Here is a 23,532-nt window from a genome sequence, read left to right as displayed (position 1 = left end):
GGAAATATCTTTAAATTATAACTATCACAGTTTTAGTAAGTAAACTGAGTAAACTATTTTTTAAAAATTACTTAGGTAAATGGAATATATGCTTGTAGATAATCTTATCATATAATTTAAAGTCTAAAGTTATATTAAGCTAAATAATAGATATTCATTAAATGTCTGGGCTATTTCCAATTTTTTTAATTATAGGAAAACATTTTTTCTTAAAAAAAAAGAAAGGTGCTCTTATTTAAAGGAAAATAATTTTTATCTAATTCAAAGGGTATTTAAGAGTTACTTAAGAAATTAGGTAAAGGTAATCAATGAATAAGAACAATGTAAAGAAAGTTAAAAACATAAAGAGGTATTTTGGGCAAGAAATGTTAAAAGAAAAATAATTTTCTATGGGAAAGAATCTTACATGGTAAATTTTTGTCCTAAAATAAAATAATTGGTTATTTAAGAAAGAAGGATATCTAGGATAAAACAGGAAGTCCAAGCATGTCATAAATGATTTGTGTCAAGTTGTCTATAATTAAAGAGAAATTATTTATAATAGTTTTTCTAGAGATGGGGTCTTGATGTTTAAAAAAAAACACATATACACTAAAGACTTGTTTATTTATTTATTTATGTATTTTTAAATTTATTTTCTTGAGACAGAGTCTCACTCTGCTGCCCAGGCTGGAGTGCTGTGGTGCAATCTCGGCTCACTGTAAGCTCCGCCTCCCAGCTTCATGCCATTCTCCTGCCTCAGCCTCCCGAGTAGCTGGGACTACAGGTGCCCACCACCACGCCCAGCTAGTTTTTTGTATTTTTAGTAGAGACAGGGTTTCACCATGTTAGCCAGGATGGTCTTGATCTCCTGACCTTGTGATCCGCCCATCTTGGCCTCCCAAAGTGCTGGGATTACAGGCACGAGCCACTGCACCCAGCCGAGAATTGTTTAGAACAATGAAATTTTCTTTAGGGATTCATTTACTCTTAATAAATTATTTGAGACTTTAATTTTTTTTAACCCAAAGTTCAACTTTTATTACGTCTCACCATTTTTGGTTTCCTTTCCCTTTTTAAAATGCGCAAAATAATAATGTTCTCCTTCAACTCATTTTCAGCTCATATAAATATTTTTTGCCTTGGGTTCTGTTTGTTGTGCCTGATGCTAAAAATGTTTTCTTAAAAGTCTAAAGGAAATGTTTTCTTCCAATATAATATTTTGTGCACTGCAGAAGGTCTTTTCTTTTGCATTTTAGTAACTGGTCCAACAGATTTTATATTTTATCAAAACAATTCCTATACCACTACTATAAAGTTTTGGTATGCTTAGGAAAAAAACTGAGATTAAAAAAATTTTTTTAATTAAGTTTATTACATCAGTATATCTTTCTGTATGTTTTTTTTTTTTTTTTCTGAGACAGAGTTTCGCTCTTGTTGCCTGGGCCTGGAGTGCAATGGCACAATGTCAGCTCACCGCAACCTCCACCTCCCAGGTTCAAGTGATTCTCCTGCCTCAGCCTCCCTAGTAGCTGGGATTACAGGCATGTGCCACCATGGCTGGCTAATTTTGTATTTTTAGTAGAGATGGGGTTTCTCCATGTTGGTCAGGCTGGTCTCAAACTCCCGACCTCTACCTGCCTCAGCCTCCCAAAGTGCTGGGATTACAGGCATGAGCCACTGCGCCTGGCCTTGTATGTACTTTTAAAGTCCTTGTGCCATTAAGTTACAGGGCTTTGACTTCTGGGTCTGAAAAAGACACCAAGTCCTTCTAAATCTTAAACACTAACAGCAATTAAATCCTCATCTTCAAGCCTGGTAGAAGATGCCAATCAAAATAAACTGCGTTCGTGAGACTCAGGGCCACAAATTAAAACTATTCAACTCCTCAAGATTCAGGTACTATCACAGAAGAGATGGGCACATGAGATTGTAAGGGCCGATTTTGAGAGATAAAATAAGTTCAAGTTCTCTATAAATAAACCATTAATGTCAAAGGCACACTGATGCAAGACCAGTATATGAGCCCCTGTGTCAGATTAACAAGGTTTTCTTGGAGCATTAACCCATTCCTTAATAAAAAGTATAAAAGTTATAAAAGGCTTATGGAAATTATATATTATGGTCAAGATAATTAAAATTGTATAGGTTGTTTATAAAATTTTGAAAAACAAATGTAATCAGCCTCATGCTATTTTTATTAGGGCTTATTGTTTGGGAAATTAAGTCTCCTCTCTCAAAGAATAATGGTTTTCACCTTTTTAAAAAAATCTTTGAGTTATCAGTTCAGTTAAATGAATGACTTATTTTATAATGGCCTGTGATCCTATTTGTTATATCAAGCATTTTAAATTTTTTATATTTGACCAACTTTCCAAAGTCAAATTCTAACTTGGGTTCTCATTAATTTTTTGATATTAGCCCCCTGATGTCCAAAAGAGACATATTCAGCTTATTTGGTATAAAAATCATACAAGAAGCCTTGTCAAATATGAAATGCTGTTTAGTATTCTTTGGACTATATTTGTATAAATGTTATTGGTATGTATTCCAAAACTATGGGAAACTCCTATAATTCTGATATGACTTAGTGTATGTTATTATTAATAATTATAATTGTTACATAAAATTGTTCAATGCTATAGAAGTAAGTAACCAAAATTCCTAGTCAATTGTGTTTTTTTTTTTTTTTTTTTTTTTTTTGAGACAGAGTCTCACTCTGTCACCCAGGCTGGACTGCAGTGGCATGATCTCAGCTCACTGCAACCTCCACCTCCCAGGTTATAGCAATTCTCCTGCCTCAGCCTCCCGAATAGCTGGGACTATAGGCGTGTGCCACCACACTTGGCTAATTTCTTTGTATTTTTAGTAGAGACAGGGTTTCGCCATGTTGGCCAGGATGGTCTGGATCTCTTGACCTCGTGATCCACCTGCCTTGGCCTCCCAAAGTGCTGGGATTACAGGTGTGAGCCACTGCTCCTGGCCCAATTGTGGTTTTAATAATGGCTGTCTTATGACTTTTTGTCATCCACAGACAATTGTTGTCTTGTTTTGATCCTCTTCAAAAGGTGGTTTGTAATTAGCAATAGGACTTTGATAGGTGCTCTTGAATGCAGGTTTCTAATAACTTTGGAAATTGTGACATTAGAACAAAGGAAAAAAACTTTCAGGACTCTCATGGAGAGCTGAAATATTCATGAACATCAAACAGAACAGGAGTTAACTGCATGGACTGAGCTAGCAGAAGACTGAAGTAATCCTTTTTGACTTTTTGCTTAAAATGTTGCTGATCCTTCGTTTTGTTTTTCAGAGTCAAGAAAAATTTTCTTAAACACACTCCTGTAAACAAAATTTGGAACATATTTGTTTATCTCTATCTGATTTCTTCAGAATTTGGAAACTGTGAGTATTCTTAACTTATGACAATATAGTTATTTGCATAAGTGCAATAAGAATCTGTTTTGTTTTGTTTTGTTTTGTAACAGGACATAATTGGAGGAACTGTTTATTTTATCAAGGCTTTGACTGGAATGATATGCTTTCCTTTAAAGAATTAAACTTGACTTATAGAGCCAATAAAAGCACCTTGAGAAAACTGGCCTCATACCTTGTCTACACAGCCCCTGTACAGCATTCCTGACCTGTGGTGAGTAAAGAATGTCACTTTCTGACAGGCCCAGAAGCCCCAAGTTATTCTGAGACCTCAGGAGGCGAGGAAGTTACCCAACTCATAGATATTTGATGGTATAAAGCCGTGGCTGGGCTCAGCTTTAAAAAAGTCTTATCTGAGATTCCTTCTATGGAACAAAGTTCCATCAAAGCTGATTTTAAAAGCCTATGTGAAAAATAATCATTCTTGCTGCACTGTTTTATAATCAGGCCAAGAATAGTCAAGCAAATGGGTCCTACCATGATTGGTCTTTAGTAAAAATTGAAAACTGGAGAGAGAAAAATGTTTCAAAAACTATAGTACACCTGTTGTTAGATTCTAATCTTGCCTAATGTTTTTCCGTTTTTATTATTTTCCACAGTTTGAACTGAATTCTATTTTTTCCCGGCTACCAGTCTCCAAAACAACATTTTCAATTGTTTGCCTTCTCTCTTTTCTCCTCCCCTGCCCCACTTTTCCTAATTTGAAATCACTGAAAACTAAGCTGTGCTTTCTTAAAGACCTGCAAACTGAAGCTAGACAACAAATTTCCAAAGCAAATAACAGCAACATATTTACATACATAAGCCACTTTCATACCTGCCTACTGATGTACGGACTTCAGAGTAATATGGCCTTTATCAGTTTTCCAGGATTGTTCTTTTTTGTTTGTTGTTTTCTCCCTTCCTCCCTCTATTTTCTCTTTCTGGGATATGAAACTCCTGCTAAAAATGAGTTTTCCTAATAACATGAGACCTACCTGTCTAGGAATAAACCATCCTAACAATGAGAAATCACAGGAAACCTGAGACCGGAGACTCATTTTCTTCTAAAATGCCCTCTCTGAAAGATTTCAAAAAGAAAAGGAGGAAATATGAAGGGAAAATAAATCTTGGGACCCTCAAATCACTATGCTACAGGGAAAGGTCAAGCTGGGAACTGCTTAGGGCAAACCTGCCTCCTATTCTATTCAGGGTCATCCCTCTGCACACTGAGATAAATGCACATCTGACTGTCTCCTTTGGAAATGCTAACAGAAACTCAAAAGAATGCAACCAGTTTGTCTCTCACCTACCTATGACCTGGAAACGGAAATCCCCTCCCCGTTTTGAATTGTCCCTGCCTTTCCAGACTGAACCAATGTACAACTTACCCATATGGATTGATATCTCACGTCTCCCTAAAATGTGTAAAAGCAAGCTATGCTCCCACCACCTTGGGCGCATGTTGTCAGGACCTCCTGAGGCTGGGTCACAGGTGTGCATCCTTAACTTTGGCAAAGTAAACTTCTTAAATTGACTGAGACCTGTCTCAGATATTTTGTGTTCATAAGGAATTATTGTTAAGTTTTCTGGATCTGGTCATAAAATTGTGTTTGTGTTATGGTTATTCAATTTGTCTATGTTAGAGATTTTTCCTAAAGAATTTACAAGTAAAAGGATATTTTATCCTTGATTGCTTTAAAATACTCTAGTAAATGAACAAAAAGTGGTGGGGAGGATAGAGTATAACTAAGAGCAACAGAATGTTGCTCACTGTTGAAATGGAGTGATAGGTGCATGGACACTTCTTATACCATTCTCTCTGCTTTGTGTGTGTTTGACATTTTCCATAATAAAAAGGTATTAATTCCCTCATTCCTGTCTCCCCAAGTGAAGCTTTGAGCTAAAAAGGTCAAGTGTTATATCAAATAAAAATTTTAATATAAATTACTTTCTGTAAGTTGCTTTCTTTGAACAAAAGCAGCCGCTGGGGAAGAGTCCTGTGGTGCCTCACCTACCCCTGCTGCCAGTGTCAACCCATCTGGCCCCACACTGAAGTCCCGCTTCTGCAGCCTGCTAGAGACTGCCTGGCTCAATGGCCTGGCTCTGCCCACCTGGGGCCACAGGGCCTCAGGACAAGACCAGCCCTTGCCCCACCCACAGCTTCTGGGCAGCCAGAGCCATCACCTGTGGCACTGGCTGCTGGTGCTTTGTGGGTAGCAATCACTCTTAAGCCCCACTTCTGCCTGCCTGGCTGCCCGGGGCCAGAAGTAGATGCTGGGGCTGTGGCTACTCCCCTGGAGGGGTTTCAGCTTTGACCCTGGGGGCCCATCCAGGGTGGGCTGAGAGCCCCTGAGCTTTTAACCTGAGGGTCTTTATTGGATAGGACCGCTTCTTATATCTTCCCTAGAGAAAACACGTGGGCTTCAGAACCCGACAGACCTGGGCTTGAATCCTGGCTGGTGTTCCTTGCTGCATGACCTGGGCAAGACTCTTCACCTCTGCTGAGCCCTCATCCCCCATCTGTACAATAGAACAACGCAACCTACCTCACAGGGTAGTTGTGGAGATGCTGCCTGACACACATCCCATTAAGGTTTGGTCTCTGCTTCCTCCCCGGCACAGGGCCCGGAATCGGAGGCTGAGAGCCTTCCTGTAGAAAGTCTTCATGTGTCTTAGGACTGGCTATCTGAGAGTGGCACATTGTGCGGTAGATGTGGCTCACACTTTCTAGAGTCACCCCTGCCACAAGCATTTGGAATTGGGTTGGCCCAATCCCCGAGCCTGGAGCTCTCTGAGGGAGCCTGCACTGCCCACTCCCAATCCCCGCTATTGGTGCAATGATGCAGCCTGGGGCTGGCATCCTTGTTCTGGGCCTGCTGCTCCTGCCTCAGGACGCCCCAGGCCTGTCCTCAGTGGCTTCCCTGAACTGCCTCTCCCACCCCAGGCATTATGACTGGAAACATGTTTTCTGGAAGCTAAGCAGCTGCTGGGACTCAGGGACTGGTGCAGGCAGGCTGAGTGGCAGCTCAGTCCTGGAAGGTCTCTGAAGATCTGGACTGGGAATCCTGGTACTCCCTAAGCCAGAACCCACCAGCTAGGCCTGCTGTGGGCCACCTGCCTGTGGGGTGCTGGGCGGAGCCAGAGGCTGGCAAGCTCTGGGCCTTATTTAAGGATTTGTGATGAGCCTGTGGGCCCCGGAGGCAGGCCATTAAAGCATCTGGCTTGTTTTGAGGGGGGAAAAAAGTTGCTTTCTTTGGTCTTGGACGTGTTTTACCAGATAAAAGTTAAAATATTATGAAAAAATAAAAGACCACTGTCATAGTCTGTTAATCCCATATGCTTCCCATGAGAAGGATAAATAGTTATATGGCAGTTTTATGGGATCCAGGGCCCACTATAGGAAAATTTCCCAAAGGGCTCTCTGAACTGTTTTTACTCACAACACTTCAAACACCAGTGTGTGGATTTTTCACACACCACCAACAACCAGTTCTCCAACTCTCTGGACACCAACTAGGTGTCCAACAATTCCATTTAATTCTGATACAAACTACCTGGAGTTAATGCAGGCCAAACCTGTTAAGGGCTCAGTCCCACAACACAGCTCCCACTTCAAATACCAGTTGAAAGTCCCAGGTTACCACATGTACTTCTGACCAACCAAATATAAATTGGAGGTTTCCACGACCCGCTCTTCACTTTTGATAATTTGCTAAAATGGCCCACAAAACTCAGGGAAACACTTTACTTGGTTTATTGGTTTATTATAAAGGATATTATAAAGGATACCAGTGAGCAGCCAAACGAAGAGGCACGTAGGGCGAGGTCTGGAAGGGTGCTGAGCTCAGGAGCTTCTGTCTCCGTGGAGTTTGAGATGCACTATCCTCCTGGCACAGGGATGCGTTCACTGACCCAGATGGTCCTGAACCCCATTGTTTCGGGATTTTTACAGAGGCCTCATTACAAAGGCATAATTGATTAAATCATTGGCCACTGGTGATTAACTCAATCTCCAGCTCAGCTCCTCCCCCTAGAGGTCTGGGGATGGGGCTGAAAGTTCCAACCTTCTAATCACAAGACTGGTTCCTCTGACCGCCAGCCCCCTAGCTACCAGGGGCCACCAAGAGTCACCTTACCAGCATAAACTCAAGTATGGTTGAAAAGGGCTTTTTATGAATAACAAAAGATGCCCTATCACCCCCATGACTCAGAAAATTCCAAGTTTTGGAAACTCTGTGTCAGCAACTGAGGACAAAGACCAGATGTGTATTTCTTATTGTATCACAGGCTCTCTAATACTCCTTTCCTCTTTTTTCTTCTTCTTCTTAATCAATAGGAGAAAATGGGGGAAAACATTGAAGCCTGAAGTAATCTCTTATTTGACTAGTTAAAACAATGAAACTATGAGAGCTTTAGGGCCTTTGGTTTGAGAATCTCTGGTTTGATATTAACATAAGTACATTAAGGCTACAGGACAATTCATTTGAAATTTCCAGTGGAGCCCAGCTTTCCTCTATTGGATAGAGCATCATTTGGAAAGCATGTCCTCTTCGGTACACTCTTCCTTTGAGAACTAGCTTGCTACTAGACTCCAAGAGATTATAAAAACCCTGAAGAGGGGATTCGAGATAGCTGACTAGAGGTGCCAGGCACCCGCCTCCTCCACAAAGAACGACCAACACAGCAAGTAGATAACCACATGTCAAATAGAGCTTCTAAGAGAGAACACTGGAATTCATCAGGGAAGTCGCAGGGAATCTCTGAGGCACGGAAAGCTAGAGAAGTAAAGCAGCTGGGCCTGCCAGGATCGGCTCACAGCTCCCAATTGCAGGGAGACGTTGAGAGATCCCCAGCAAGCTACGTTCCCACTGCAGACTCCTGCAAGCCTAGCCATGGGAAGGCCCTTTGGCTCTTGCAAGCCCTGAGACTAGAATAGGGAGCTGCCTGGAGACACGTGATGACATTGTTTCAGAGAGGGAGTTCACGCTCAGTCCTGCATCCCCCCCGAAACCCAAGCAGCTGCAGCATAGGGCCGCTTGAGAGCTCAGCCCCCACCAGACTGCATCCTGCCCTGGGGCCCAACAGCCCCTGCACTTCCACATCCCTGGACCCTAGTGACATCCCCTCACATCCTCAGAAGGCTGTAGCATTGAGACGCCAGCAGTGTTGCTGCATTGCCGGCACTCTAGCCCACGTAGTGTTCTACACCCTAGGGAACAGGCAAAGCAGTGCACCAGGAAGATTGACCTGGGACAGAGGGAGCCAAAGCATGCACTTCCCAGAGCCTGAGTGCTGCCTGCCCCAGGGCCACTGCCACTGACAGCAACCCCACTCCTTTCCGAAGAAGGGCCACCATGCACCGCATGTGCCTTTACAGGAAGCCTGGGGAACAGCCCACCTGTGTACTGTCCTTATGCTGGAGGAGGGGGGTTGGCACCCACGTGCATCATCCAGGGATCTCAGGATGGATCTGTCTCTGCTGCCACCACCACCCACTGACACTATCCAGGGGCCTGGGGATAATTTGGCCACCCTGCCCTCCACCACTGGTGCATGTGTATGCCATCTAGGGGCATAAGGACAGGCCCGCCCACCACCAGATTACATGTGTACCTCTCAGGGGACAAGGGACTGGCCCTCCCAGCTCACCACCAGCACTGACTGCTATGCATCCTGCTCCAGGGCCTAAGGGTTGTCCACTGCTGCTACTACCACCACCAATGCCACGCACACCACCTGGGGGTGCAAGGGCGTACCCACTCAGCTCACTACTGCCACCGCTGGTACCTAAGCATGCCACCTGGAAGCCTAAACACTGGTCTGCTCATACCCACCACTGCCAGCACCTACATACACCATCAAGGGCCTGAGGACTGGCACACTTGGCCCACCACTGCCACCACTGGCAGTTGAGAATTGGCTCAACTGGTATCCCCTTCCGCAGGAAAGTCTTGTCACAGCCCCTACTAATAACCACATCCTAAGCCACCGAGGAACCCACAACCACCACTGATGCTGATTATAGATGAAGACATCACATGGAGACTACACTACTGCATCCACCCAGAGTCAAAGCCAAAGTACCCTGCCAACCAACTGTAGAAGCAGCTCTAGGAAAGAGCCTTCCCCTACAAGAGCCAATCTGTAAAACTGGAATAAGTAACTGTTACACCAGACGTGCAGATATCAATATAAGGACACAAGAAACATGAAAAAGCAAGGAAACATGATGCTTCCAAATGAAGACAATAATTCTCCAGTAGCAACACGAAGAAGAGGAAATCTATAAAATAGCCTGAAAAAGAATACAAAATAATGATATTAAAGAAACTCAGTGAGATACGAGAGAACACAGATAAATGATAGAAAGAAATCAGGAAAACAATTCATGATCTGAATGAGAAATTCAACAAAGAAATAAAATTCAACAAAGATATAAAAAACAAACAGAAATCCTGGAACCAAACAGTTCAATGAATCAATAAAAAAATTCATTCAAGAGCTTTAACAATAAACTACATCAAACACAAGAAAGAATTTCAGAACTTGAAGTCAGGTCATTTGAAATAAGCCAGTCAGAAAAAAAATAAATGAAAAAAGAATGAAGAAAGCATGGATGACATATGAGATACCATAGGGCAACCAAATATTCAAACTTTGGCAATTTCAGAAGGAGAAGAGATGGGCAAAGGCATAGAAAACCTATTTAACAAAATAATAGCTGAAAACTTTTAAAGTCTTGTAAGAGATATAGATAACCAAATACAGAAAGCTTAAAGATCCCCAAATAGATTCAACCCCAAAATAGTCTTCATCAAAGCACATTGTCATCAAACTATCAAAAGTCAAAGATGTTGGGCACACAGCTGTAATCCCAGCTACTTGGGAAGTGGAGGCAGCTACTTGGGAGGCTTGAGGCCAGGGGTTTGAGGCTGTAGTGTGCTATGATTGTGCCTGTAAAGTAGCCACTGCACTCAAGCCTGGGCAACACAGCATGACCTCATCTCAAAAAAATAAAAAATAAAGTAAAAGACAGAGAATTCTAAACACAACAAGCAAAAAGCATCAAGTCACATATAAGGAAATCTCCATCAGACTAACAGTGGATTTCTCAGCAGAAACTGTACAGGCCAGGAAAGAATGGGATGATATATTCCAAGTGCAAAAAGAAAAGAATTTTCAGACAAGCGTACTATATCCAACAAAGCTATTCTTCAAAAATGAAAAAGAAATATTGAGGGAATTCATCATCACTACACTGGCCCTACAAGAAATGCTTAAGGAAGTCCTACATCTGAAAGAAAAAGGACAATAACTATCATGAAAGTATAAAACTCACTGGTGGAGAGGATAGGCAAATGAGAAAAAGAAAGGACTCAAACATTATCACTATAAAAAAACACCAAATCATAAAGGTAAACAATAAAAGATGAAGAAAGGAACATAAGATATACAAAACAATCAGAAAACAACTAACAAAATGACAGGAGTATTTTACTTTCACCTATCAATAACAACCTTGATTGTAAATGATTTAAATTCCTCAATTGAAAAACATAAACTGGCTGAAAGGATTTAAAAAAAAAACAAACAACCCAAACAAGACCCACCTGTTCCACCTGCAGAAAACTCACTTCACCTGTAAAGGCATACATAGGGCTGGGTGTGGTGGCTCATGCCTGTAATCCCAGCACTTTGGGAGGCTGAGGCGGGTGGATCACTTGAGGTCAGGAGTTTGAGACCATCCTGGCCAAGATGGTGAAACCCCATCTCTACTAAAAATACAAAAATTAGCCGGGCACAGTGGCGGGTGCCTATAATCCCAGCTACTCGGGAGGCTGAGGCAGGAGAATCCCTTAAACCCGGGAGGCAGAAGTTGCAGTGAGCAGAGATCACGCCACTGCACTCTAGCCTGGGTGACAGAGCAAGACTCTGTCTCAAAAAAAAAAAAAAAAAAAAAAAAAGACATACATAGACATGAAAGGATGAGAGGCCAGGCACAGTGGCTCATGCCTGTAATCCGAGCACTTTGAGAGGCCGAGATGGGCAGATCACCTGAGGTCAGGAGTTCGAGACCAGCCTGGCCAATGTGGTGAAATCCCATCTCTACTAAAAATACAAAAATTAGCCAGGCGTGGTGGTGCATGCTTGTAATCTCAACTACTCGGGAGGCTGAAGCAGGAGAATCGCTTGAACCTGGGAGGCGGAGGTTGAAGTGAGCTGAGATCACACCATTGCACTCCAGCTTGGGTGACAAGAGCGAAACTCAGTCTCAAAAGAACAAAAACAAACAAACAAACAAAACAAGACATGAAGGGATGGGGAAAAAATCCACACAAACAGAAACCAAAAGTGTGCAGGAATAGCCATGGACCATGATACATATATTGACATTATGTTCTTGACATAAACGTTCAATACAAGAAAACATAGGAAAGACACTGTGGATAAGTTAACTTGTAATATCAAGGCTGTAGGAGAGCAATTTTAAACATGACAGAACTTGGAGAATATTGTTCCCATTGCCTCTTCTTGATGAACCTAAGAGGGAATGGGCTAGAAAAGATAATTGGGAAAACTTTGGCAAAAATATTTGTGGCAAACCTTGACTGTGTTTAGCTGAAAATGTGAGGCTAAAACAAATGTGGAGGTAAGGATAGTAACTAATATGAAAATCTGATATACTCTGTCAAAATGGAAATAATATCACTTAAAAAGTGGGAGAAGCCGGGCGCGGTGGCTCCTGCCTGTAATCCCAGCACTTTGGGAGGCCGAGGCGGGCGGATCACGAGGTCAGGAGATCGAGACCATCCTGGCTAACACGGTGAAACCCCGTCTCTACTAAAAATACAAAAAAAATCAGCCGGGCGTGGTGGCGGGTACCTATAGTCTCAGCTACTCGGGAGGCTGAGACAGGAGAATGGCGTGAACCCGGGAGGCAGAGCATGCAGCGGGCGCCGAGATCGCAGCACTGCACTCCAGGCTGGGGGACGGAGAGAGACTCCACTTCAAAAAAAAAACAAAAATGAAAAACAAAAAACAAAACAAAACAAACAAAAAAAAAGTGGGAGAAGACAGAAAGCCCAGACACTCATTAACTGATTCAGAGGCAACAGCTATATGTCACAAGATACTACATAAAGCTGAAAAATCAAAAAATGGAAGCCTAGGTTTATTTGAAAGTACAAAGAAAAACTAAACTTTGGATGGTGGGGGAAAAAGAGGGAAGACTGAGGAAGAGGTTACAAGTTAGTTTTTTTTTTCTTTCTTTTTTCTTTTTTTGAGGAGTCTTGCTCTGTCATCCAGCCTGGAGTGCAATGGCACAATCTCAGCTCACTGCAACCTCTTCCTCCTGGGTTCAAGCGATTCTCCTGCCTCAGCTTCCCTAGTAGCTGGGACTACAGGCGCACACCACCACACCCCCAGCTAATTTTTGGCATTTTTAGTAGAGATGGGGTTTCACCATGTTGGCCAGGCTGGTCTTGAACTCCTGACCTCAAGCAATCTGCCTGTCTCAGCCTCCCAAAGTGCTGGGATTACAAGCATAAGCCATTGTGCCCAGCACAAGTTAGTTTTATAACAATAGACATTGTCTAAAGGAGGCCAGGCCTAGTGGTTCATGCCTGTAATCCTAGCACTTTGAGAGGCCAAGGTGGGAGGATTGCTTGAGCCCAGGAGTTCAAGACCAGCCTGGGCAACATAGTGAGATCCCATCTCTAAAAAAAAGTAACAACTTACAGGAAATATTTTTTTAAAAATTTTTTGTTTAAGCCATTGCCTAAAGGAAAGTGGGAACTGAACATATAAAATACAACAATTAGAAAAAATTAAAACCTTAAATTTTACACACATACACGGACTTTGTGATGTTTCAGTTTAGCTAAATCCATTTAAACGGTTTCTCCAAGTGTCCTTCCCTGTATCATTCTGAGTTAGGATTGGCCACAAGATACAATTACAGTTTACACACACACACACACACACACACACACACACACACACACACGGACTTTGTGATGTTTCAGTTTAGCTAAATCCATTTAAACGGTTTCTCCAAATGTCCTTCCCTGTATCATTCTGAGTTAGGATTGGCCACAAGATACAATTACAGTTGCATTGTTCCTGATATACTGCTCACTTTGTTGCAGTGGGACAGCCAGACCAGCTGCTACCCCAGCTCCTGTCCGATCTCTCTCAGCTTCTCTGAATCCTGGGCCAGGTGTGTGTGCTACCAATGGGGAAGAGAACCAGTTTCTCCTGCAGGTCACCTACAACACTGAGACCTGAGACATGAGATTTAATGCCATTCTAGTTTGTCCTCAGAAGTTCCCATTTGCCCGTCCCTGATTTCCTAACTTCACATCCATCTTCCCTTCCTTACTGCTGGCCCTGCTGACTTCAGACCAGCATCAGTCACAGAGGCAAGTCTTACAAAGACTTATTCACTAAATCCTAAAGTTATATAAGGCCTAGTACCTATAATAAATCTGTTATTTGTACCATTTGCGGTGGTTCAGCTGCTCTGATTTTTTTTTTAAAGAACGAAAATGAGCAAAGGAAACACAACAGAGTATAGTAAAAATAGAAAATTCAGAAAAGATAATACAAAATAATATAACAGGGACTAAACAAATCCATTGTATCAATAAATGCAAATGAGCTTAAAAGACCTATTAGAAGAAAACAAAAATAAATGATTGATAAGTGGATTAAAATAAATGGATTAAACACACAACTCAAAAAAGAAAAGAATGGTGAAGCAAATTGAAAAAATACAGAAGGATGAAATTGCTAAATATGAAAACAGGAAATATTGATCAGAAAACAGAAAAGTCTACATAATAAAAAGTATGCTAATCAAGCAATTAAAAATTAATTCTTTGAAAAATATCAAAGCTATAGAAAACAATTATATAGCATAAACAAATAAGAAATGACAAGCGGGTGGGATGCAGTGGCTCATGCCTATAATCCCAGCACTTTGGGAGGCGAAGGTGAGGGGACTGCTTGATCTCAGGAGTTCAAGGCCAACCTAGGCAACATAATGAGACCCTGTCTCTACAAAACAAATTAAAAATTAGCTGGGCATGGTAGCACATGCCTCTAGTCCCAGCTACTTGGGAGACTGAGGCGGGAGGATTGCTTGAGCCCAGGAGGTTGAGGCTGCAGTGAGTTGTGACCGCACCATTGCACAGCCTAGGCAACAGAGTGAGATCTTGTTTCAAAAACAAATCAACAACAACAACAACAATAAAAACCAAATAAATGACAAGTGAGAAATAACTATTGAAAGGAGTAAATACAAAGTAATAAGGGTTGGGTGCAGTGGCTCATGCCTATAGTCCTGGCACTTTGGGAGGCTGAGGTGGGTAAATCGGTTGAGCTTAGGAGTTCAAGACCAGCCTGGGCAACGTGTGAAAACCCTGTCTCTACACAAATACAACAACAACAAAAAAATTAGCTGGGCCTGGTTGCACGGTGCCTGTAGTCTCAGCTACTCAGGAGGCTGATGTGGGAGGATCACTTGAGCCCGGGAGATTGTGGCTGCAGTGAGCTGTGATTGCACTCCAGCCTGGGTGATAGAGTGAGAACCTGTCTCAAAATAAAATAATAAGATCATAATGACATCAGGGAAGGTGGCAGAGTAGAAAACATCAGGAATCAATCTCTCTACCTAGTCAATTGTACTGACAGAATCTGTCTAATATAACTATGTTGGAACTCTGGAATCTATCACAAGGGTTGCAACTTCCAGGGGAAGACTGTGGCTAATTTCAGTCAATTTCAGCTCTCACACTTTTGGAGCAACTTGGACTTGGCTTGCAGGAGCCAGGGTAGGCAATAAGAACCTTGTCTTCCATGTATCTGGGATCTATGTTTTGATCCCTGATTGCTGCTTCTGATGGTAGAGGTGTAGTCACAGAAGTGAGCTGCCATTGTTGTAACCCCCATTGTCATTTTTACAATCCACACTGGAAAAGTGACTTCCAGGAGACTTAAAAAGCCAATGACTGGCTTTCCTCCCCTTCATCTTTCCCTTTTCCCCCTTTTAGGGGCCAGACATTTAAGGACTAGGACATCCGAAGTAACTACATACACAAGGGAATAGGGAAAGTCACCATGCATGTCCAGGGAAAGGCATAGACTCAGAGAAGACCTTCAATTTATTTCTCAATCTTATCCCCAGCTTAGAGACACCATACAACCATGAAAATAAAATAAAATAAAACAGCATGCCTTTTTTATCCATGTGCCAAAAAAGAAAGCAAACCCTGGGGAAGGAGAGAATTTTATTTCCAGAGTTACCACATTATAAGATTCAAAAGTCCAGTTTTCAAATACAACAACAAAATCACAAGACATACAAAGAAACATTAAAGTATGGCCCATCTAAGGAAAAAAATGTCAACAGAAAACATTCCTCAGCAACTGTCTTAAAGATGCTCAAAGAGCTAAACGAAGAAGTGGACAAAGTCAAGAAAATGATATATGAATAAAATGAAAAAATTTTTCAATATTTATTGAAAAATAAAGAAAAAACATAAAAAGGAACAAAAAATTCTGGAGCTGAAAAGTACAATAACTACAATGTAAATTTGACTAAAGGGATTCCAAAAGCAGATGTGAGTAGGTAGAAGAAAGATTCAGACCAACATATGCACTGTAGGAGTTTCAAAAGAAAAAGAGGGAAAGGGAAAAAGGAATTTTTTTTTTTTTTTTTTGCAGAAATAAGGGCTAGAAATGCCCCAAACTGGGTGAAAAACATGAATACAAACATCCAAGTTGCTCAACAAAGTTGAAGTGGAATAAACTCAAGAGAGGTCCCACCAGGAAATATTATAGTCAAACTGTGAAAGGCCAAAGGCAAAGAGAAAATCTTGGAAACAGCAAGGAAGAAGCAACTGTTTACATACAAGAGATTCTGAATAAGATTGTCTCCTGATTTCTTACCAGAAACTGTGGAGGCCAGAAGCCAGTGGATCAATATATGCAAAATGTTGAAAGGAAAAAACTGTCAAGCAAGAATCCTTTACCTGGCAAAACTGTCCATCAAAAATGAAGAAGAAATTAAGAGGCCAGCCATGGTGGCTCATAACTGTAATCCCAGCACTTTGGGAGATCAATATAGGTGGATCACTTGAGCCCAAGAGTTTGACACCAGCATGGGTAACATAGTGAGACCCCATCTCTACAAAAAAAAAAAAATACATATACCATTATAAAAGCTAGTATTACTGTAACTTTGATTTAAAACACCACATTTTGTTTATATTATTTAAGAGACTAAGCATTAAAAAAATCACTAAGAAGCTTGTGTTTTTGGACATACAATGCACAAAAATGTAATTTTATGACATCAGTAACTGAAAGGGATGGGCACAGAACTGCATAGGAGCAGAGTTTTTGTATGCCTTTGAAGTTAAGGTGGTATAAATTCAAATTAGGTTGGGCACGGTGGCTCATGCCTGTAATCCCAGCACTTAGGGAGGCCAAGGCAGGTAGATCACCTGAGGTCAGGAGTTCAAGACTAGCCTGGCCAACATGGCAAAACTGCGTCTCTACTAAAAATACAAAAGTTAGCCGTGGTTGCACACTTCTGTAATCCCAGCTACTCGGGAGGCTGAGGCAAGAGAATCGCTTGAACCCGGGAGGCAGAGGTTGTAGTGAGCTGAGATTGCACCACTGCACTCTAGCCTGGGCAGCAGAGCAAGACTCCATCTCAATAAATAAATAAATAAATAAATTCAAATTAGTGTTATAATTTTAGGATGTCAAATGTAATTTTCATGATAACCACAGAGAAAATATCCATAACATATGTACAAAAGGATACACACACACACACAAGCATTTAAAACTTTTCACTACAAAAATCTTAACTAAACACAGGACAGTAATGCAAGAAATGAAGAACACAAAGGGTATAAGGCATATAGAAAACAAAAGCAAAAGGGCACAATTAAATCCCTCTTTGTCAGTAGATACTTTAAATGTAAACGGATTAAACTCTCCAATCAAAATACAGAAATCAGCATAATGTATAAAAAACATGAATCAAGTATATGATGTCTACAAGAAATCATGTTAGATAAAGACACAAATAGGTTGAAAGTAAAAGGATGGAAAAAGATATTACATACAAATAGTAAACAAAAGAGAGTGGGGTGTCTATACTAACATCACACAAAACAGACTTTAAATCAAAAAAGTTTACACAAGACAAAGAAAGGGATTACATATTAATAAAAGGTAAAATAAAGCATGAAGATAAAACAATTATAAACATTTATGCACTTAACAACAGACCATCAAAATATATGAAGCAAAAACTGATAGAATTGAAGGGAGAAAGAAACAGCTCTACAATAATAGTCAGAGACATCAGCTGGGCCTGGTAGCTCATGCCTGTAATCCCAGCACTTTCGGAGGCCAAGATGGGCAGATCACATGAGGCCAGGAGTTTGAGACCAGCCTGGCCAACATGGCAGAAACCACTGTCTCTACTAAAAATACAAAAATTAGCTGGGCGTGGTAGTACATGTCTGTAATCCCAGTTACTCAGAGGCTGAGGCATGAGAATCGCTTGAACCCAGGAGGTGGAGGTTGCAGTGAGCCGATGAGATCAGATGGTGCCACTGCACTCCAGCCTGGGCTATAGAACAAGACTCCCTCTCAAAAAAAAAAAGAAAGAAAGAAAAAATCGGAGACCTCAATACCCCACTCTCAATAATGGATAGAACCATCAGACAGAAAATAAGGAAAGAAGCAGAGGACCTGAACAACACGATATACCAACTAGATCTAACAGACATAGGCAGAACACCCAACCCAACAACAACACAATACACATTCTTCTCAAGCGTACATGGGCATTCTCTAATATAGACCATAGAGTAGGCCGCAAATCAATTCTCAGTAGATTTTTTAAAAATAAATATGATACAAAGTACCTTATCTGACCACAAAGGTAAGTTAAAAATCAGTAACAGAATAAAAACTGAAAAATGCACAAATCTGTGGAAATTAAAAAACACACTCTTAAATAATCAATGTGTCAAACAAGAAAGCCTAGAGAAATTAGGAGATAGAGACAAATGGGATTAAGAACACACTATTTTCATTTGCACAATAAATGAAAATACCTAATGACAATATGAAAACTTATGTGATGTAGCAAAAGCAGTGCGAAGGGAGTAATATATAGCTGACAATACTTAACATTAAAAAAGAAGAAAGATCTCAAATCAGGCCATGTGCTGTGACTCACATCTGTAATTCCAGCACTTGGGTGGCCATGATGGGTGGATTCCTTAAGTCCAGGAGTTTGAGACCAGCCTGGGCATGGCAAAGCCCTGTTTCTACAAAAAATACAAAAATTAGCTGGGTGTGGTGGTGCACACCTGTAGTCCCAGTTATCAGGAGGCTGAAGTGGGAGGATCTGGCTGAGCCTGGATGGTTGTAGTGAGCTGTGATTGTAACACTGCACTCCAGCCTGGGCAGCAGAGTGAGTCCCTGTCTCCAAAAAAAAAAAAAAAAAAGAGAGAGAGAGAAAGAAAAAGAAAGAGAAAAGAAAAACAAAGAGAAAGAAGGAAAGAAAGAGAGAGAGAGAAAGAAAGAAAGAAAGAAAGAAAGAAAGATCATAAATCAACAACCTAACTTTAGACTTTAATAGTTAGAAAAAGAACAGCAAACTAACACAAAACTAGCAAGAGGAAGGAAATAACAAAGATTAGAGCAGAGATGAAATAAAGAATAGAAAACAGAAATAGAAAATTAAGGAAACCTAACACTGGTTGTTCTAAAACATTAACAAAATTGACAAACCTTTAACTGGATTGACTAAGAGGGCTATATTTGGTTTAAAACAGTTTGTCCACTAGCCTCTTTTTTCTTTTGCAGAATCCAGGCCAAGATACCACATAGCATTAACTGGCATGTTTCCTCACTCTCCACCAGTTTATGAGTTTCTCTGTGTTGCCTCGACTTTCATGACCTGGACATTTTTGAAGAGTGCTGGTCACATATCATATTATATTATATTAATTAATTTATTTTTGAGATGGAGAGTCTTGCTCTGTCGCTCAGGCTGGAGTGCAGTGGTGCAATTTCGGCTCACTGCAACCTCTGCCTCCTGGGTTCAAGCGATTCTCCTGCCTTAGCCTTCCCAGTAGCTGGGATTACAGGTGTGCACCACCATGCCTGGCTAATTTTTGTATTTTTAGTAGAGACGGGATTTCTCCATGTTGTCCAGGCTGGTCTCAAACTCTTGACCTCAAGTGATCCACCTGCCTTGGCCTCCAAAAGTGCTGGGATTATAGGCATGAGCCACCATGCCTGGCCATGGTCACATATTCTTTTAGAATGTCCCTCAGTTTGGGTTTTTCATGATTAGCCTGAGGTTATAGATTTGGGGGAAGAATTCCACAGAGGTGAAGTGCCTTACCCAGGGAATATGATATGAAGATAACTTAGTACTTTTCTGGGTAGAAACAACCTTATGGCACCCCTAATGTTTTTCTCTTTGTCTTGCCAGTTTTTCCCACATTGTAAAAATGACAAGGCAGTTTTTAGTGTACTGTTGAACAACTACAGAAGAAGTTGGATTGTAGCAAATTGTTTCTAGAATGCCTTTGAGGGCACATTGCCTTTGGATGCCCAAGCAAGATGAGGAAGCAAATCTTTGATGCTATTAAGTGGCCATCTGGGTGGGACACAGGCAAAAAGAGCCTGGGTGCAAGAGAAACCATGATCATAGAGAGAGGCAGTATCAGGAAAAGTGGCGAGAAAGAACTGGTCAGTTCACAGAGATAAGACCAAAGGTGACTTGACAATGAGCAACAGCCACACTTTTGCCTATGTTATTAATCAGTGAGAATATTTTTATTACATATCAACAGAAAGTTACATGAGGATTATTAGAAATATTCCTTCAAATGGAAGATGCCTTATGGTTTCAAAGATGTCCCAAGTTGGACTATCCAAAAATGTAATGCAAGTCAACCCAAAGGTTAACACTCTCAGAGAGTAGCTTCATGAGACAGCACAGGAAGAAGGGATAAAAGCCTGTGGTGGCTCATGCGTGTAATCTCAGCTACTCAAGATGCTGAGGCTGTAGATCTCCAGGCCAGGAGCTCCAGATCAGACTGGGCAACAGAGTGAGGCCATGTCCTTAGAAAATTATTATTGATTTAATTTGCTTTTTAAATTTACTGCTATTAGGCCAGGCACGGTGGTTCACGCCTGTAATCCCAGCACTTTGGGAGGCCAAGGCAGGCGGATCATGAGGTCAAGAGTTTCAGACCATCCTGGCCAACATGGTGAAACCCCATCTCTACTATAAATACAAAAATTAGCTGGGCATGGTGGCATGCACCTGTAGTCCCAGCTACTCGGGAGGCTGAGGCAGGAGAATTACTTGAACCTGGGAGGCCGAGGTTGCAGTGAGCCAAGATCGTGCCACTGCACTCCAGCCTGGCTGCAGAGCGAGACTCAGTTTAAAAATAAAATAAAATAAAATAAAAAAATATATATATAGCTATTATTATTTAAAGACAGGACCTCACTCTGTTGCCCAGGCTGGTCTCCAACTTTGATTGGCCTCAAGCAATCCTTCTGCCGAAGCCTCCCAAAGCACTGGGATTACAGGGATTAGCCACACTGTGCCTGACCATAGTTTCCCTCCACTGACTCCACCCACAAGCAATCATTCCCAACCTAAAAACATTATTTTAAAAATTAGCGGAGCCAGGGTTAGTGGTTCACGCCTGTAATCCTAGCACTTTGAGAGGCCAAGGCCAGCAGAGAGCTTGAGCCCAGGACTTCGAGACCAGCCTGGGCAACATGGCAAAACCTCATCTCTACCAAAAAAAAACAAAAAAACAAAAATTAGTCGGGCATGGTGGTGCATGCCTGTAGTCCCAGCTACTCTGAGGGCTGAGGTGGGAGGATCTCTAGAGCCCAGGAGTTCCGGGCTGCAGTGAGCTATGATTGCACCACTGCACTCCAGCCTGGGTGACAGAGTGAGATCCCTGTCTTAAGAGATGAAAAATAAAGAATATTTTTGTACAGAATTTTGAAGACAGATCATATACCCAGAGCCCAATTCCTTTTTCTCTGAGCTACCAGTATCTCTTTTATACATTCCTTATATTCAATAATTTTATTATGCATTGGTAGATAAGTGTGTACATCTACACATTTATATAGTCACACCAAACAACATGCTTAAATGATTATTTGTTGAAAGCTTTTTTTTTTTTTTGAGATGGAGTCTTGCTTTGTCGCCCAGGCTGGAATGTGGCGTGATCTTGGCTCATTGCAACCTCCACCTCCCGGGTTCAAGTGAGTCTCCTGCCTCAGCCTCCCAAGTAGCTGGGACTACAGGCATGCAGCCACCGTGCCTGGCTAATTTTTGTATTTTTAGTAGAGACGGAGTTTCACTATGTTGGCCAAGCTGGTCTCAAACTCCTGACCTCAGGTTATCCACCCGCCTTGGCCTCCCAGAGTGCTATAATTATAGGCGTGAGCCACTGTGCCCAGCTGGCCAGGCCCACAAATCTGTATTTTAATAGATTCTCCAGGTGGTGCTTACAAACGCTAAAGTTAATGCAAAGGTGCTATTTCGTGTTTTGTTTTGTTTTGTGTTGTTTTGTTTTGTTTTTTGAGATGGAGTCTCTCTCTGTCTTCCCCAGCTGGAGTGCAGTGGCACTATCAGGTTCAAGCGATTCTCCTGTCTCAGCTGCCAGAGTAGCTGGGACTACAGGAGTGTGCCACCACACCCAGCTAATTTTTTTGTATTTTTAGTAGAGGCGGAGTTTCACCATGTTGACCAGGCTGGTCTTGAACTCCTGACCTCAGATGATCTATTTGTCTCGGCCTCCCAAAGTGCTGGGATTACAGGCGTGAGCCACCGCCCCCAGCCCAAAGGTACTATTTTGGAGCAATGATTTTAAGACTTGGCTTTATTATCTTAATTTGAACATCATAAAGAACAAATACATAGTCAAAAATACATAACTGTTTTCTTTTTTTTTCTCTTTTCTTTTCTTTTCTTTTTTTTTTTTTTTGAGATAGAGTCTTGCTCTGTTGCCCGGGCTGGAATGCAGTGGTCCAATCTGGGCTCACTGCAACCTCCGCCTCCTGGGTTCAAGCGATTCTCTTGCCTCAGCCTCTGGAGTAGCAGGGATTACAGGTATGTGCCACCACGCCCAGCTAATTTTTGTATTTTTAGTAGAGACAGGGTTTCACCATGTTGGCCAGGCTGGTCTCAAACTCCTGACCTTAAATGATTCATCTGTGTCTGCCTCCCAAAGTGCTGGGATTACAGACGTGAGTCACTGTACGGCCCGTAACTGTTTTCTGAGTAAGATTCAGTTTCCAATCTCGGCAAATGAAGACTTTCCTGGGGTTAAAAGGACTCTTTCTGGTTCACTCCTTGATATCGACCTGTGCTGGGGATTGAGCAGCTGTTCAAGTCCAACCCACCCAGTTTTGGTTCTATGCCAGGCTTAAATCCACGATATTTCACAATTCGTGTATGCCACCTGATGAAGTGTTTTTAGGTGATGACTGCCTTGTAACCTAACATTTTGCCAAATGTTTATTGTAAATTTTTCTACCATCATCATTACTGTGGTATTGTAACTAAAACTCTCCAGGAAGTTATTCAGCTTAAAACTAAAATCGAGTATATCTCAAGTAACTCTACTGTTTGATTTGAAATGCCTCTGTTATATGCTGTCTGCAATCAGCATCGTCTCGTAAATAAAGTTGAAAGGAAAGATGATGAAACTGGCAGTGTTACTGAATGGGAAATAAAGGTGAGAATACACACTGCGAATGAAGACATGGAAGTTACTTCTATGACATAATCATGTAGGAATCTGAATGCCGTGTTCCCTTGTTTACCAAATGAAGCACCTTTATTGCAAGAGAAGAAACTGGGCTGTTCCCGCCAATATTCAGAGGCCATTTGGAATCTGCTATGATTGCTTAGATCTGAGGACTTGGTGCTCTATTATTTTGTGGGATCTGAGAGGCAGGAATGGGATTTAATGATATCTCAATTCTCATCCATCTAAAATAACCTAATTTGCAATTATAAATAAAATGGCATGTTGCATTTATATATTCCCTTTT

The 23,532-nt window shown here is 41.5% G+C and overlaps 1 long non-coding RNA gene and 1 pseudogene across 1 annotated transcript; both read left to right on the top strand.

Annotated features, from left to right (window-relative positions):
* Window positions 1–3,460: 3,460 nt before the first annotated feature.
* LOC124904170 (uncharacterized) lies at window positions 3,461–5,337 on the top strand. The gene is made up of 2 exons (XR_007066057.1): window positions 3,461–3,625; window positions 4,011–5,337. It is a non-coding gene; the product is annotated as an uncharacterized LOC124904170 (long non-coding RNA).
* Window positions 22,785–23,058, top strand: OOSP1P1 (oocyte secreted protein 1 pseudogene 1; annotated as a pseudogene).

This window comes from Homo sapiens, chromosome 1 (genome assembly GCF_000001405.40).
Source record: "Homo sapiens chromosome 1, GRCh38.p14 Primary Assembly".
NCBI lineage: Eukaryota > Metazoa > Chordata > Mammalia > Primates > Hominidae > Homo > Homo sapiens.
Note: the sequence above shows the minus strand (reverse complement) of the source record. Positions and strands in the feature narration are given on the sequence as shown.